This window comes from Homo sapiens, chromosome 20, assembly GCF_000001405.40.
Source record: "Homo sapiens chromosome 20, GRCh38.p14 Primary Assembly".
Taxonomy (NCBI): domain Eukaryota; kingdom Metazoa; phylum Chordata; class Mammalia; order Primates; family Hominidae; genus Homo; species Homo sapiens.
The window spans coordinates 34,114,289-34,130,227 of record NC_000020.11 but is presented as its reverse complement, the minus strand read 5'-3'; the positions used below and the strand labels follow the sequence as shown (position 1 = coordinate 34,130,227).

The window sequence follows — 15,939 nt, the reverse complement described above, 5'->3', positions numbered from 1 at the left end:
ACTGGGATTGGCGGCCCTATTTTTGCGGATCTGTTGTTGTACCCCATCAATCCACCAGGTCTTAAATTGTAAAAATTGAGAAGGTGAGAGTGATGATTTGGCCAAAATTTCCCAGTCATAAGGAATAAGTCTATTTCCATGAGCAATGGAATCTAATAATGTTCTCATATAAGGAGAATTGGGTCCATACTGTTTTACTCCCTCTTTCATGTCTTTTAGCATTTTTATAGAAAAGGACTCATATCTGGCATCAGCTTGGGGAGGGCCCTTCTCCAGGTAGTATGGGCTCTAATATTACTTGAAATTAAAACGCCTCAGTATCTCTCCTTGTTTTCTTGCCTTCTCAATAATTTCATGTAATGCACCATCCTGTCCACTAGGTGGTGGTGTAGGATTAAGTCTCATAGTGGGCAGCTGAGGCTATATCGCCGTGCGTGCCCTGTGGTGCTGGAAACGTTCCTGGCTGTCCATACTGATTTTCTGGGGGGCGGCTGATACTGAAGTTCGGCTGGCGGTCAGTATTGATAGGGTACTGGCGGTTGGGTCTTACTTTCTACCAGCTGATATTGTGAATACTGTATCTGGATTGGCATTGCTGTGATAGAGACTATCCTTTTCTATCTGATATTCTCTTGGGGTTTGTACTTGTCTAACCTGCATTTGAGGTTGTAATGTTACGGGCATCTGAACTGTGGGAGGAGGAGTTGGCCATCGTGGGTTAGACTCTGATGGCCCCAATAGTTCTAGACCTTTTCCCCCCAATTTTGATGGTTCATAATATATTACCTCCTGTAATTGGTTGTAGTCAACATTTTCCGTTGACTGAGCCATTACACTCTTCTACCCTTTTTTTCTTTTTTTTTTTTTCGAGACGGAGTCTCGCTCTGTTGCCCAGGCTGGAGTGCAGTGGTGCCATCTCGGCTCACTGCAAGCTCCGCCTCCCAGGTTCACGCCATTCTCCTGCCTCAGCCTCCCGAGTAGCTGGGACTACAGACACCTGCCACGACGCCTGGCTAAGTTTTTGTATTTTTTTAGTAAAGACAGGGTTTCACTGTGTTAGCCAGGACGGTCTCGATCTCCTGACCTTGTGATCCATCCGCCTCGGCCTCCCACAGTGCTGGGATTACAGGTGTGAGCCACTGCGCCCAGCCAGACTCATCTACCTTTTTATACTGTGAACCTTGCGTTACTTTCTTGAATTCTGTCCCTGCCTCTTCCTCACAATCTATTACACAGCTTTCAGGGGCATCAGAAACTGAAACGCTATCTTCTTCTGTTTGAAATGATTCTAAACCTATTTTAATAATGGCCCAATCATTCCATACTGTAAGTGGGATGATTTTATCCTCCCTATTTGCTTGTTTTAATTCTTTGCCAATTTTTTCCCAGTCTTTTAGATCTAACGTTCCCTATTCTGGAAACCATAGGCAGAATTGTTCTATTGTTTGAAATAGCATGATTAGATTTCTGTGGAGGCTCTAACTCCCCCTCTTCTTAAAATAACTTTAATAAAGCTGAGATAAGAGGCATATTTGCTTTCAGTTTGACCCATTCTTACCCTGGGTTTCTCTGAGTGCACAAGCTTACCACAAGGCTGATCATGGAAGTCTTCGGGAATCTCTCGTCGATTTGTCTTCAATGATCACACTCTAGCGTATCTTCACCGTAGAGAAAGGAACCCACATTGGGCACCAGATGAAGAGGGCCTGCCCCTGCACACCTGTGGGTATTTCTCGCAAGGTGGAGACGAGAGACTGAGAAAAGGAAATAAGACATAGAGACAAAGTATAGCGGAAGAAAAATGGGCCCAGGGACCGGCGCTCAGCAAGTGAGGACCTGCACCAGCGCTGGTCTCTGAGTTCCCTCAGTATTTATTGATCACTATCTTTACTATCTCAGCAAGGGGAATGTGGCGGGGCTATAGGGTGAAGGTGGGGAGAGGATCAGCAGAAGACCATGTGAGCAAAGACTCTGTGTCATGAATAAGTTTAAGAAAAGGTGCTGTGCCTGGATGTGCACAATCGCTAGATTTATGTTTAAGCTTACATAAACACCTCAGTGCAGTAAAGAGTAACAGAGCAGTATTGCCGCCATGATGTCTCATCTCCAGCCATAAGGAGGTTTTCTCCTATCTCAGTAAATAGAATGTATGGTCGGGTTTTACACCGAGACATTCCATTCCCAGGGACGTGCAGGAGACAGATGCCACACTCTTATCTCTACCGCATAGAGGCCTTCCTATTTCACTAATCTCCTTAGCACAGACCCTTTACGGGTGTCGGGCTGGGGGGCTGTAAGGTCTTTCCCTCCCCACGAGGCCATATCTCAGGCTGTCTCAGTCCGGGGAAACCTGGACAATACCCAGGCTTTCTTGGGCAGGGGTCCCTGCGGCCTTCCACAGTGCATTGTGTCCCTGATTAATAGAGAATGGAGAATGGCGATGACTTTCACAAAGCATACTGCCTGCAAACACATTTTTTTTTTTTTTTGAGAAGGAGTGTTGCGCTGTCGCCCAGGCTGGAGTGCAGTGGCACGATCTCGGCTCACTGCAAGCTCTGCCTCCTGGGTTCATGCCATTCTCCTGCCTCAGCCTCCCGAGTAGCTGGGACTACAGGCGCCTACCACCACGCCCAGCTAATTTGTTGTATTTTTAGTAGAGACGGGATTTCACCGTGTTAGCCAGGATGGTCTTGATCTCCAGACCTCGTGATCTGCCCGCCTCAGCCTCCCAAAGTGCTGGGATTACAGGTGTGATTTTTTTTTTTTTTTTTTTTTTGAGACGGAGTCTTGCTCTGTCACCCAGGCTGGAGTGCAGTGGCTCAATCTCGGCTAACTGCAAGCTCCGCCTCCCAGGTTCATGCCATTCTCCTGCCTCAGCCTCCCGAGTAGCTGGGACTACAGGGGCCCGCCACCACGCCTGGCTAATCTTTTGTATTTTTAGTACAGACAGGGTTTCACCATATTAGCCAAGATGATCTCGATCTCCTGACCTCATGATCTGCCCGCCTCGGCCTCCCAAAGTGCTGGGATTACAGGCATGAGCCACTGCGCCTGGCTGCAAAAACATTTTTAACAAAGCACATCCTGCACAGCCCTAAATCCCTTAAAACTTGAGTCAATACAGCACATGTTTTTGTGAGCACAGGGTTGGGACAAGAGTTACAGATTAACAGCATCTCAAAGCAGAACAATTTTTCTTAGTACAGATCAAAATGGAGTTTCTTTTGTCTTACTTTTTCTAGATAGACACAGTAACAGTCTGATCGCTCTTTCTTTTCCCTATACATTTTGAGTTGATTTTTTGCGTATGGTGAGAGACAGGAGTTTAGTTTCATTCTTCTGGATATGGATATCCAGTTTTCCCAACAACATTTTTCCCCAATGTATGTGCTTGGTACCTTTGTCAAAAATCAATTGGCTGTACGTGGATTTATTTCTGGGTTCTCTTTTTGTTCCCTTGGTCTGTGTTTTTATATCAATACCATGCTGTTTTGGTTATTAGAGCCTTGCAGTATATTTTAAATTCAGGTGGTGTGATGCCTCTAGCTTTGTTCTTTTTGCTTAGGATTGCTTTGACTATTTGGACTTTTTGTTCCATACAAATTTTAGGATTTTTTTTCTGTCTTTCTTGTTTTACTAGAGCAAATCCTCCAGTGCTTTCCTAAGAAAAGTTATGTGGGGATGAGGGGTAAATTTCTGATCCTTGCATGCCTAAAAATATACTTATTTATTCCTCATACTTGACTGATAATATGGCTTAGTATAGGAGTTCTAGATTGAAAACGTATTTTCTCTCAGAATTTTGAAAGCCTCCCTATATCGTCTTCTAGCCACTAATGTTACTATGGACAAAAATGCTATTCCTATTACCTGCTCTTTCATAAGTAACCTGTTGCCCTTTCCCTGCCCCCTCCTCACCTCCTATCACCAAGATTTTTGATTTTCTCTTTATCCTTTGTGTTAAAAAATTTCATGATGATGTGCCATAATGTTTTTCCTTTGTTTTGTTTTCTTTCATTATGCTGGGCACTCAGCAGGCTCTGCCACTCTGGAAACTCAGTTTCTTTGATAATTTTCTTCCATTTCTTCTGTATTTCCAGAACTCCTGTTAATCTAATGGTCGACCTTATGGATTCATCCTCTAATTATCTTTTCTCTTTTATTTTTCCATTTGTATTTCTGTTCTACTTTCTGAGAGATTTCCTCAACTTTATATATTAAGACTTATATAAATTATTTATTTTTCTATTATTATTATTTGAGAACAGGTCTTGCTGTATTGCCCAGGCTGGAGTGCAGTGGCATGATCATAGCTCACTGCAGCCTCCATCTCCTGGGCTTGAGCAGCCCTCCTGACTCAGCCTCCTAAGTAGCTGGGACCACATGCATGAGCCACCACAGCTGGCTAATTTTTTTTCTTTTTTTATTATTTATTTATTTATTTATTTATTTATTATTTTTTTGAGATGGAGTCTCGCTCTGTTGCCCAGGCTGGAGTGCAGTAGTGTGATCTCGGCTCACTGCAAGCTCTGCCTCCTGGGTTCATGTCATTCTTCCGCCTCAGCCTCCCTAGTAGCTGGGACTACACGTGTTCGCCATCATGCCCGGCTAATTTTTTGTATTTTTAGTACAGATGGGGTTTCACCATGTTAGCCAGGATGGTCTCGATCTCCTGACCTCGTGATCCGCCCGCCTCGGCCTCCCAAAGTGCTGGGATTACAGGCGTGAGCCACTGAACCAAGCCTAATTTCTCTTTTTAAAAGAATGTTTAGCAGAGAAGAGGTCTATCTAATATTGCCCTGGTTGGTCTTGAACTCCTGGCTTTAAACAATCCTTCTACCTTGGCTTCTCAAAGTGCTGGGATTACAGGCATGAGCCATAATGCCCAGCCAATTTTTCTATTATATTTTTAATTCCCCAGAGCTGTTACTTACTCTATTTTTTTTAGAGCATTTTATCTTTGCTTTATGGATGCAGTATTTTCTATTATCTCTCATAGACTGCTTATTGTTTTTTAAAAATATTTTTCTGTTCTCTTCAGTTTCTGTTCCCTTTGAGTTTCTTTTTTCTCTATTTGATGCTGTCTTTCCTGGTGGAGGTTTATCTTAAATATCTGGTGACCCTTTGTTGTCTCTTCATATTTAAGAGTGAGTCACTAAGTATTTGGAAGCTCTGTGTTAACAGGAAGTTTATCTGTAGGATGATAAAGTGGGTACCTAGGTGTTTTGTTGGGGGACCTCAAATATCAGTATGTATAGATCTTTCCTCTGGGGTTAATTAATTAAAATTAATTCCCTGATATCTTGCCTGGAGAATACAAGCCTTGCTGTCAGCATTCCTGGAATAAATTTCAGCAGGAGGACTGAGTGCGCTTCACCATTCAGCATGTAGACAATTCATCTAATCTCTGTTTTCAGTCTGAAATCCTCCTACCTTAGCCTCCCTGCTATTATATCTTTAGCTGTGCCTGGTATCTCAGTGTCTGGAACTTCTCTACCTCAATTTTGTCCCAGGGGCTGCTAGGGAGATGAAAGGGTAGTTGTCTAAGTGAGTAGGATGGAGAAAAAGACCTGGCAGTTTCACTTCCTATAAAGGCTTTCAGCCAAACCCTCTCTCTTCTGCCTCTCACATCACCTCTGATCTGCTCTGTCCCAGTCCTGACATTCTAGTGTTCTGCAGTACGAATCTGTTTGTCCCTTGTTAGTATAACCCTCAGCAAACATTTAGAATTGTTTTCTCAGCTCAGCTATGGTTTTCCATCTTCCAAAAATTTGTTGATATCCTTAATCTGCTATTGATTTCTTTCTTATTCTCTTTGTCTGTAGACTGGTAAACCTAAAAATGTTAACTCACTGTCACTTCAGTGATTTGGGGAGTGAACAGGGATAAACATATGTGTTTAATCTGTCCAAGCATAAACAGAAGTGCAAGACTGTCAAGATGTCCACTCTTTGCTCCTATTAAAAAAAGTTAGAACCAGAAAATTCATAGATATGGCTGGGCGAGGTGGCTCACGCCTGTAATCCAGCACTTTGGGAGGCCAAGGCGAGTAGATCATGAGGTCAGGAGTTCAAGATCAGCCTGGCCAAGATGATATAACCCCATTTCTACTAAAAATACAAAAATTAGCCAGGCACAGTGGCAGGCGACTGTAATCCCTCCCAGCTACTTGGGAGGCTGAGGCAGAAGAATCGCTTGAAGCTGGGGGACAGAGGTTGCAGTGAGTCAAGATTGCACCACTGCACTCCAGCCTGGGCGACAGAGTAAGACTCCGTCTCCAAAAAAAAAAAAAAAAAAAAAAAGAAAATTCATAGGTAAAATATAGATAAAATTCTACTCTCATAGGCCAATGTGGAAAAAGTAGGAGTCTGAGAGTTGCGGTACATGTGTCCAAGCCCTGTTATTATCATTTACTGGTCTGAAGCTAGGTAAGTTAAATTTTCTGACCATCTGTTTCCTCATCTGTAAAGTGGTGATAATCATCCCTAGATAGTCTATCTTACTTGTAATGATGAAGTAAAATAATTGATATAAATATATAAACATCAAATATATATCATTTATCATAAACTCTATTAGAAGTAGGCACAGTTAAATATATTTTCAGAGGCACTGTAACATAGTAGAAATAATATGGGCTTCAGATTCACACAGACTTGGGCTCAAATTCCATCTCTGTTACTCACTGGGTTATGTTGGGTAAGTGACTGACACTCTCTGAGCCTTCATTAACCTGTTTATAAAATGGGTATAATACTTTTAACCTGACAAGGCTGTTGTTGAGTATTAAATGAGATAATGCATGTAACATCTATAGGGCCTGACACTTAGTAAGTACTCAACAGATATTAATTCTTCCATGTTGGCCCCTAATTTGAGACCAGCTTTTTTTTTTTTTTTCAGGCTTAATTCAGTTTGTTTTTCTTGTATAAAAACCCTATGCTGTAGCCACAGCTGGAGCCTGGGTCCTCTGCATGGAGACTCTGGTGTGGGTCTTGACGAGGTGGTCAGTGAATTCCTGATAGGGAGACTTGGTGAATATAGTCTCCTTCCAGAGGTCGAGGGTCAGGTAGCTGTAGGTCTTAGAGATGGTGTCAAAGGTGGCCTTGGCGAAGTTGCCAGGGTGGCAGTGCAGCCCCTGGCTGAGGTGTGGCAGTCATCAATACCAGCCATCATGAGGAGCTTCTTGGGCACAGGTGCGGAGACGATGCCAGTGCCCCTGGGTGCAGGGATGAGGTGCACCAGCACAGAGCCGCAGCGGCCTGTCACCTTGCAAGGGACGGTGTGGGCTTGTCCATCTTGTTCCCCCGTAGCCTCTGCGCACGGGGACAATGGAGTGCTTGGTCAGGATGACGGACCCGCGGATGGCAGTAGCCACCTCCTTGGAGCACTTAACGCACAGACCGACGTGGCCATTGTAGTCCCCGGTGGCAACAAACGCCTTGAACCTGGTGCGCTGGCCCGCGCGGGTCTGCTTCTGCACCGGCATAATCTTCAAACCCTCTTCCTTGAGAGAGGACCCCAGAAAAAAGTCAATGGTCTCAGATTCCTTGATGGGCAGGGAGAAGAGACATCCTCCAGGTACTTGATCTTCATGTCCTTGACCAGGTGGCCCAGCTTGGTGACGGGCATCTACTCCTTATCCTCGGCCTTGCCTCTGCGAGCTCCATGGCCTCGGCTCCGGCCCAGTCCACGGCCATGACCCTGGCCCCGGATGCCACCGCCGAAACCTCCGCGGAAGCCACCGCGGTTCCCCATCCCTCCCAGGGCTTGCGGGGGCCTCCGCCCGGCCTCCGCCCGGCCTCCACCCGACCTCCGCACCCCACGCCCTGCCGCCCCCTGCACAGGCGTCATCCGCCATTTGGGGATTTGTTGAAGAAGAGCTTTTTTATACTAACATGAAAATCCTGAGCTTGTATTTCATTAGTTCATGCTAAACTACATTGATAATTAGCATCTTAGATCATAAATAGTCCTCATAAAAGTTTATTTATTTGCTGTTTTCCCAGGACCAAATTATAAGGTGAATAGCCCAAATTAAAAGGATTCCTCATACAAGACCTTTGAAGTCAACTGGCTATTGCTGAGGCATCTTTAGCATTTCATTATGAAATAAGATGTGAAACTTGTAACAAATATCAAGAGATCAGAGGCTCTGGAATATTGAGAACAACTACAACTCAAAAAATTATTTTAAACGTTTGTTTTTTTTGGTTTTTATTTGATCCTCATACAAATCTAGACTCCACAGTCTTTTTTATCCTGTTTAAAGATGAATTAACAGAAACAATGAGTAAAGAAGCTTCCTTTACTCAACTTCCTTGAGTACTTCCTTGAGTTTCAAGGAAGTCTCAAATTCCTTGAGACTGATCTATCTGTGGAAAACAACCAAGAACTCCAACCTTGGTCTTTTGTCTCCCAGTTTAGTGCTCTCTTTTTAAAAAATATGGTAAAATACAAATACCATAAAATTTATCTTTTCAACTATTTTTAAGTATATTCACATTGCTGTACAACCAATTTCCAGAACTCTTTCCATCTTGCAAAACTGGAACTCTGTACCTATTAGACAACAACTCTCTCTTCCCCCCTCTCTCCCTAGCCCCTAGCAACCGCCATTCTACTTTCTCTTTCTATGAATTTGACTATTCTAGGTACCTCAAATAAATGGGATAACACAGTATTCGTCTTTTTGTGGCTAGCTTATTTCACTAAGCATAATGTTCTTGAGGTTCATCCATATTGTGGCATGTATCAGAATTTCCTTCCTTTTTAAGGCTGAATGATATTCTATTGTATGTACACACCATATTTTGATTACCCATTCATCCACTGATGGACACCCGGGGTGCTTCTCAGGTATGAATAATGCTGTTGTGAACATGGACATAAAAATATCTCTTTGAGACACTGCTTTCAGTTTTGTTTTGTTTTTTTTTTTTTTCTGAGACAGAGCTTCGCTCTTGTTGCCCAGGCTGGAGTGTGATGGCACGATCTCAGCTCACTGCAACCTCTGCCTCCTGGGCTCAAGTGTTTCTCCTGCCTCAGCCTCCTGAGTAGCTGGGATTACAGGCGCCGGCCACCATGTCTGGCTAATTTTTTGTATTTTTAGTAGAGATGGGGTTTTACCATGTTGACCATGGCTGGTCTCAAACTCCTGACCTCAGGTGATCCGCCCACGTCAGCCTCCCAAAGTGCTGGGATTACAGGTGTGAGCTACCATGCCCAGCCCTTTCAGGTTTTTTTTTTGTTTTTTTATTTTTATTTTTTAAATATACGTAGTAATTGAATTGTTAGATTATATGGTAATTCTGTTTAAAAATGTTTGAGGAACCACCATACTCTTTTCCATAGGGCTGCACCATTTTACAGTCCTGCCAACATACACAAGCGTTCCAGTTTTTCCACATCTTGATAATATGTGTCATTTTCTGGAGGTTTTTTTTTTAATTAATAGCAATTCTACTGGGTGTAAGGTAGTATCTCATTGTGGTTTTCTTAAGAGTTTTGAAGTCTTCTGTACAGATGGCAAGATACTAAGTAACCTTGGATAACATCATCAAAAAACATTCATATTCTTTTTTTTTTAATTGATTTTTTAAAAGAGAACAGGGTCTTGCTGTCACCCAGGGTGGAGTGCAGTGGTGTGATCATAACTCACTGCAGCCTCGAACTCCTGAGCCCAAGAGATTCTCTTGCCTCAGCCTCTTGATTAGTTGGGGCCACTGGCACATGCCACCATGCCCGGCTAATTTTTTTTTAATTACTTTTTTGTAGAGACAGGGTCTCACTATGCTGTCCAGGCTGGTCTCAAACTACTGGCCTCAAGCAATCCTCCTACTGTGGCCTCCCAAAGTGTTGGGATTACAGACATGAGCCACTGCACCCAGCCTCAACAAATGTTTACTGAGCTCCTAATAGGTGCTATGCACTGTGCTGGGTACTGGGGTTATAAGTCTCTTAAGAGCAAGGGAGAAAGATGGGCAATGAATAGTGACCAAGGTGCTGAGTGTATACAAGGTACACTTAATTACTTCTTACTGAAAGTCTGCTAATCTTTCAAGAAGACTATCAGGTGCTTTTATGGCTCACGCCTGTAATCCCAGCACACTGGGAGGCCGAGGTGGGAGAATCACTCGAGGCCAGGACTTTGAGACCAGCTGGGGCAACACAGTGAGACCCCCATCTCTACAATTTTTTTTTTTAATTAGCTGGGTGTGGAGGTACTTGCCTGTAGTCCTAGCTACTTGAGAGGATAAGGCAGGAGGATTGCCTGAGCCCAGAAGTTTGAGGCTGCAGTGAGCCATGATCATGCCACTGCACTCCAGCCTAGGTGACAAAGTGAGACCCTGTCTCAAAAAAGTGAAAACAAAAACTGATCACCTCCTTTTATAGTGAATCATAAAAGGAGTATGTAAAACATATTTATTTCCTATGCTCACATCCAATTATTCCAAACAGAATACAGCTGGGAGGTTTTCCCATCCTCTCTTGGGAAGGAGGCGACATTCAAGAAGTGAAGACTGGTGCAAGTTAGTAATTAGCACTTATACCTATCGCCCCATACGGGTGCCTGCATTCACAAACATGTGCTAGGTTTTGGGAAAGCAAAGAAATATGAGTAAGGTACAGATCCCACCCTCCAGGATCTCAAAGACAGCTACAACATAATATAAGAGCTGTAATAGAAAAAAGACAAGTAGAGAGAAAGGAATCATTTTTTTCCCTTGTACAGAAATCAAAGGCTTCTTTAAAAAAGTAAAGTCTAGATCTGGATCTTAAAGGATGACAGGAGTTCATCAGATTCCGGGAACAGGAGGGAAGGACGTTCTAGAGAGGGAACAGCATGGAAAAAATGAAATGGCACAGCATGTTTATGAAATATTAAATGATTTAGTATGACTGAAACAGCATACACAATGGAGAATGGTAAGAAGGGTAGACAGTAGCATGGTGAGAGGGGCTTGGAGGCAGACTGTGGAAATCTATTCTTCTGAAGGTAACAGAGAATTAACTGATTTTTAGGCAAGGGAGCAGCTTGATTAGTGTTTTTTTCCCGGCCCCAGGAAACTCGATGGGCTAGATGGAGGATGAACTGGAGTTACAAGAGAACCAAGAAAAAGATATGGGAGAAGGAGGTCAGGGACTAACCAAATAAGATCTCAAAGACCCTTGTTTTGTTCCACAGCAGTCATTGAGGATGACTTGTTGTGAAAAATACCCAGAGCTTTTTATTTGTTACAGAGACAGGGTCTCACTATATTGCCCAGGCTGCTCTCAAACTCCTGAGTTCAAGTGATCCTCCTGCCTCAGCCTCCCAAAGTGCTGGGATTACAGGCATGAGCCACCACGCCCAGCCATTCAAAGACTCCTGGAGTAGAGCACCAGAGCTGAGGAACTCACGTATTTGGCCTCCAAAACCAGAAATCTGATTTTCCTAAAGCATGTATCATGGAACAGATACTTGAGGATTGATTCACAATAACCAAATTCATAAGAGATTGTGGTATAAAGGATAATCCTAATTTACTAATGTACATTCATTCATTCATCAAATAGTTGTAAAGAACCTACTTTGTGCGAAGCATTATTCTAAGGAACTAGGGACACAGCTGTCATTAACAATTTCCTATCCTCACAGTTACAGTCTCTGTGGAATATAACATAGAATGTATGTTTCCAGTGAGTAAAATATTTGTTTGCTGTCTAGAGCATTTCCTTCCCAGTGCAAAGGAACCAAGGATTTTAAGTCACTAATGAAAATGTTATTTGGCAAATGATCTTCTGATCATTTGAAAAAAGAGATGGTATTAAGACCCATTTCATTCAGGTCACAGGTAAGGCCTGAGCTTATCTTCGCTCTAGAACAAGTATACCTCTCTAATGACTAGCTTTTAACCATGTTCTTTGGATTCATAATTTCTCTATCCTGAACACTGCTGAATGGAATAAGCCATCCTGGCTTATTCTTCTCCTTCTGGGTTCCAAGTAAACCATTTCAATTCTAACATATTCTTTCAGATATATTATAATACAACTGAGATTAATTACGTTAGCTTTGGTCATTTTTAGTATATATGATGAAATAAAGGCTCCAACCTCAACTATTTCATTGTAAGCAATGTAATTTTGGGGACTAATGGGTTTTCAACCATTAATTCAGTAAATATTTATCAAATATTTATTTATTATTTTTTTGAGACGGAGTCTCGCTCTGTTGCCCAGGCTGGAGTGCAGTGGCTGGATCTCTGCTCACTGCAACCTCCACCTCCCGGATTTAAGCAATTCTCCTGCCTCAGCCTCCCAAGGAGCTGGGATTACAGGTGCCCACCACCATGCCCAGCTAATTTTTGTATTTTTAGTAGAGACAGGGTTTCACCATGTTGGCCAGGCTGGTCACGAACTCCTGAACTCAGGTGATCCGCCCACCTCGGCCTCCCAAAGTGCTGGGATTACAGGCATAAGCCACGGCACCCAGCCACCAAATATTTATTAAGTGACTATGATGAGTCAGGCACTCTGCTAGGTGCTGGGAATATCAGAGTTAACAAGACAGATTTTTGTATTATGTTCAAGAAATTTGCATACATTCTAGTAGTGAAGTGAGATTAAGAAAACTACAAGTATACAACAGACAAATTAAACAAATTGTGGTGAGTGTTATGAAGGAACAAGAGAAAAGCTGCAGTATCCCAAAACTGATGACAATCACCTGGACCAGGTTAGTGGCAGTGGCGAGAGAAGAGATTGTATTTGAGATCTATTTTGGACATTGAATCAACAAGACAATAGTGAATTGAATGAAGAAGTGAGGGAAAGGAAGGAATCAAGGCTAACTCCTGGGTTTTGACTTAAGCAACTGGGTAAAGAGCAGTACTCTTAACTGAGATGAGGATGACTTGCTGTGGAAAATACCCAGATTTTCTATGTGGAAAATCTTGCATTTCCACAGAAAATCTGGCTATAATCCACACAGAAAATACCAATTTCTACGTGGATTATAATTTTTATCTTAATCATGTTTTCTGTAAGTTAAATATTACCCATGAGGATGTGTGACCTTGCTTACTAAATAAAAAGAGTATTGCACTAAGAATCATGAGATCTGGGTTCTAGTTCAAGTTCTGTCACTATTTAACTTTAAGTCACATTCTCTACAGGCCTGCTATTTTATGGGTCAAGTGGAGACTGTGGAATAGTTCAAAGCCAATGAAAACATATAATTAAGCATACAATTGAAGTACTATCATCATTAGCTTACTGTTGGGCAGTTGGAGATCTGGGGTGGTATTGAGCATGGCCCAGAATGAAAAGTCCAATAGTCTTGTTTCTGTATCTCTGCTTGGTGTGTGTGTGTGTGTGTGTATTCCATAACTTGGCTTCTGTATTTATAAAACAAAATTACAGTATTTCTCTCACAGGTATTGAGAAGAAAATCCATAAGTGTCTATATGCATTGCAGATTCCTGGAGGAAAGAAGTTATGAAAATATAAATTATTTGTGTTGTTAGTAGGATCAATCTCTTGGAAAACCAGGAAAAGTTTAGCTATCGTTGCTTTGTGACTTTTGCCAGGGAATCTTGGCTTTTCCTAGAAAAGAAATTGCTACCTTGGAGGAAGCCTGAAATCTCTGAAGGAAGTCTTCTTGCACATAGCCAGTTCAGGGAGATTACACCTGGTACCATGCTGTAAGGGAAAATAAATTTTTTCATAAAAGTGGTCAAGAGTATTTGCTAAACACAGCAGCATTTCCCAAACAGGGAGTGAAGGTACAACGAGGTCTCATTAAGACTTTCTTGGCTGGGTGTGGTGGCTCACGCCTATAATCCCAGCACTTTGTGAGGCTGAGGCCGGCAGATCACGAGGTCAGGAGATCGAGACCCGTCCTGGCTAACACAGTGAAACCCCATCTCTACTAAAAATACAAAAACAATTAGCCGGGCGTGGTGTCAGGCGCCTGTAGTTCCACCTACTCAGGAGGCTGAGGCAGGAGAATGGCGTGAACCCAGTGGGTGGAGCTTGCAGTGAGCCGAGATCGAGCCACTGCACTCCAGCCTGGGCGACAGAGCAATACTCCGTCTCAAGAAAAAAAAAAAAAGACTTTCTTAGTTCTCTTAGTGTCTTCGTTAGTGTGAACTAACAAGCTAACTTCCTTGGTGTGATCTGAGTAACTTAAGTTAGTGTGAACTAACTTCTTTGGTGTGATCTGAGTAACTTATTTTTTAATTAAAAAAAATTTTTTTTTTTGTAGAGATGGATCTATGTTGCCCAGGCTAGTCCCAAACTCCTGAGCTCGAGCGATCCTCCCACCTCGGCGTCCCAAAGTGCTGGGATTACAGGTGTGAGCTACCATGTCTGGCCCACAGATCATTTCATAAGCTCCTTTTCCACTTGTCTTCTTTCATTTTTCCATTTCATTTATTTTTCCTTTATCTGTCATTTTTGTAGTTGAACAGGCTTTTCCAAAACTTAGGCCACACTGTTTCCCTCTCTTCTCTTCAAGGCATCCCACTTAAAATGATTTGGGGACTGTCATGTACCAAATGTTTCTCTCTCAAAGATCCAAAAAATGATGTACACCAGTGGTTCTCAAACAGGGGTGATTCTGTCTCTCCCAGGGGATATTTGGGAGTGTCTGGAGACATTTTTGGTTGTCACAACTAGGGGGAGGGTGCCACTGGCATTTATTATATAGAGGCTGGGATGCTGCTAAACATCTTACAATGCACAGAACAACATCCCACAACAAAGAATTATCTGGCCTGACAAAGAATTGTCTGCCAATATGTCAATAATGCTGCCATTGAGTAACTCTGGTATGCACAAATATCAGTAGCTGAAAATGACTGAGGTTTGATGGCACTAGTCCAGGCTCCTTAGGGATTCAGATTCTCAAGGTGGTAAAGGGGCAGCCACTGGCATCAGATTGTCTGGACTTGGATTCCCAGGTTACCTGTTTTGCTGGCTGTATATGGCTTCTGACTAATTATTCAGTGCCACAAAAGCAGTTTCCTCATCTGGAAAAAGGGGCTAATAAACCATCCATCTCACTAAGATGTAAGCTCCTTGGAGGCAAGGAACTGCCATGCTTAGATTAGGGACTAATATCCAGTAGAGAGTACTAGGTGTCTGTGGATTATCTCACACAGTTGTGTTGAGACCTAAAGCAGCAAATATGATTAAGTAATGTGGAACACAGTGAAAAGAGATGCAGCCCGTGATAGCAGGAAGCCGGCTGGCACTATTAACTAGGATGTGCTGCCCTGTTGAACACTAACAATTTCAGAACACCAACATCAGACAAGGCCATTCTGTGAGCACGGCGGGTCCAAACAAAAACAAAACCACTCCACAATGATGTCTGAATATAAACAAACAAAAATAAACATTGTGCCAACCACAAAAAAATGACCAGATATAAGGCCGGGCACGGTGGATCACGCCTGTAATCCCAGCACTTTGGGAGGCCAAGGTGGGCGGATCACCTGAGGTCGGGAGTTCGAGACCAGCCTGATCAACATGGAGAAACCCCGTCTCAACTAAAAACACAAAATTAGCTGGGCATGGTGGTGCATGCCTGTAATCCCAGCTACTTGGGAGACTGAGGCAGGAGAATCGCTTGAACCCAGGAAGTGAGGTTGCGGTGAGTCGAGATCGTGCCATTGTACTCCAGCCTGGGCAACAAGAGCGAAATTCCGTCTCAAAAAACAAAACAAAACAAAACAAAAAAAACAGATATGCTCCTATCTCCTATCTCTATCCTTTTTTTTTTTTTTGAGACGGAGTCTCGCTCTGTCGCCCAGAGCTCTGTCGGCTGGAGTGCAGTGGTGCGATCTCGGCTCACTGCAATCTCTGCCTCCCGAGTTCAAGTGATTCTCCTGTCTCAGCCACCTGAGTAGCTGGGATTACAGGAGCACGCCACCATGCCCCGCTAATTTT

General features: G+C 43.0%; 1 pseudogene, besides 2 other annotated features; it reads right to left on the bottom strand.

The window, feature by feature from the left end:
* Positions 231 to 525: an enhancer, noted in NCBI's record as "tiled region #7536; HepG2 Activating DNase unmatched - State 4:PromP". NCBI's record gives its function as "activates a minimal TATA promoter and a strong SV40 promoter by Sharpr-MPRA in HepG2 cells {active_cell/tissue: HepG2}" and the evidence as "EXISTENCE:reporter gene assay evidence [ECO:0000049][PMID:27701403]".
* Positions 5,465 to 5,534: a silencer, noted in NCBI's record as "silent region_12832". NCBI's record gives its function as "represses an Ori minimal core promoter by ATAC-STARR-seq in GM12878 lymphoblastoid cells {active_cell/tissue: GM12878}" and the evidence as "EXISTENCE:reporter gene assay evidence [ECO:0000049][PMID:35858748]".
* Positions 6,901 to 7,882, bottom strand: RPS2P1 (ribosomal protein S2 pseudogene 1; annotated as a pseudogene).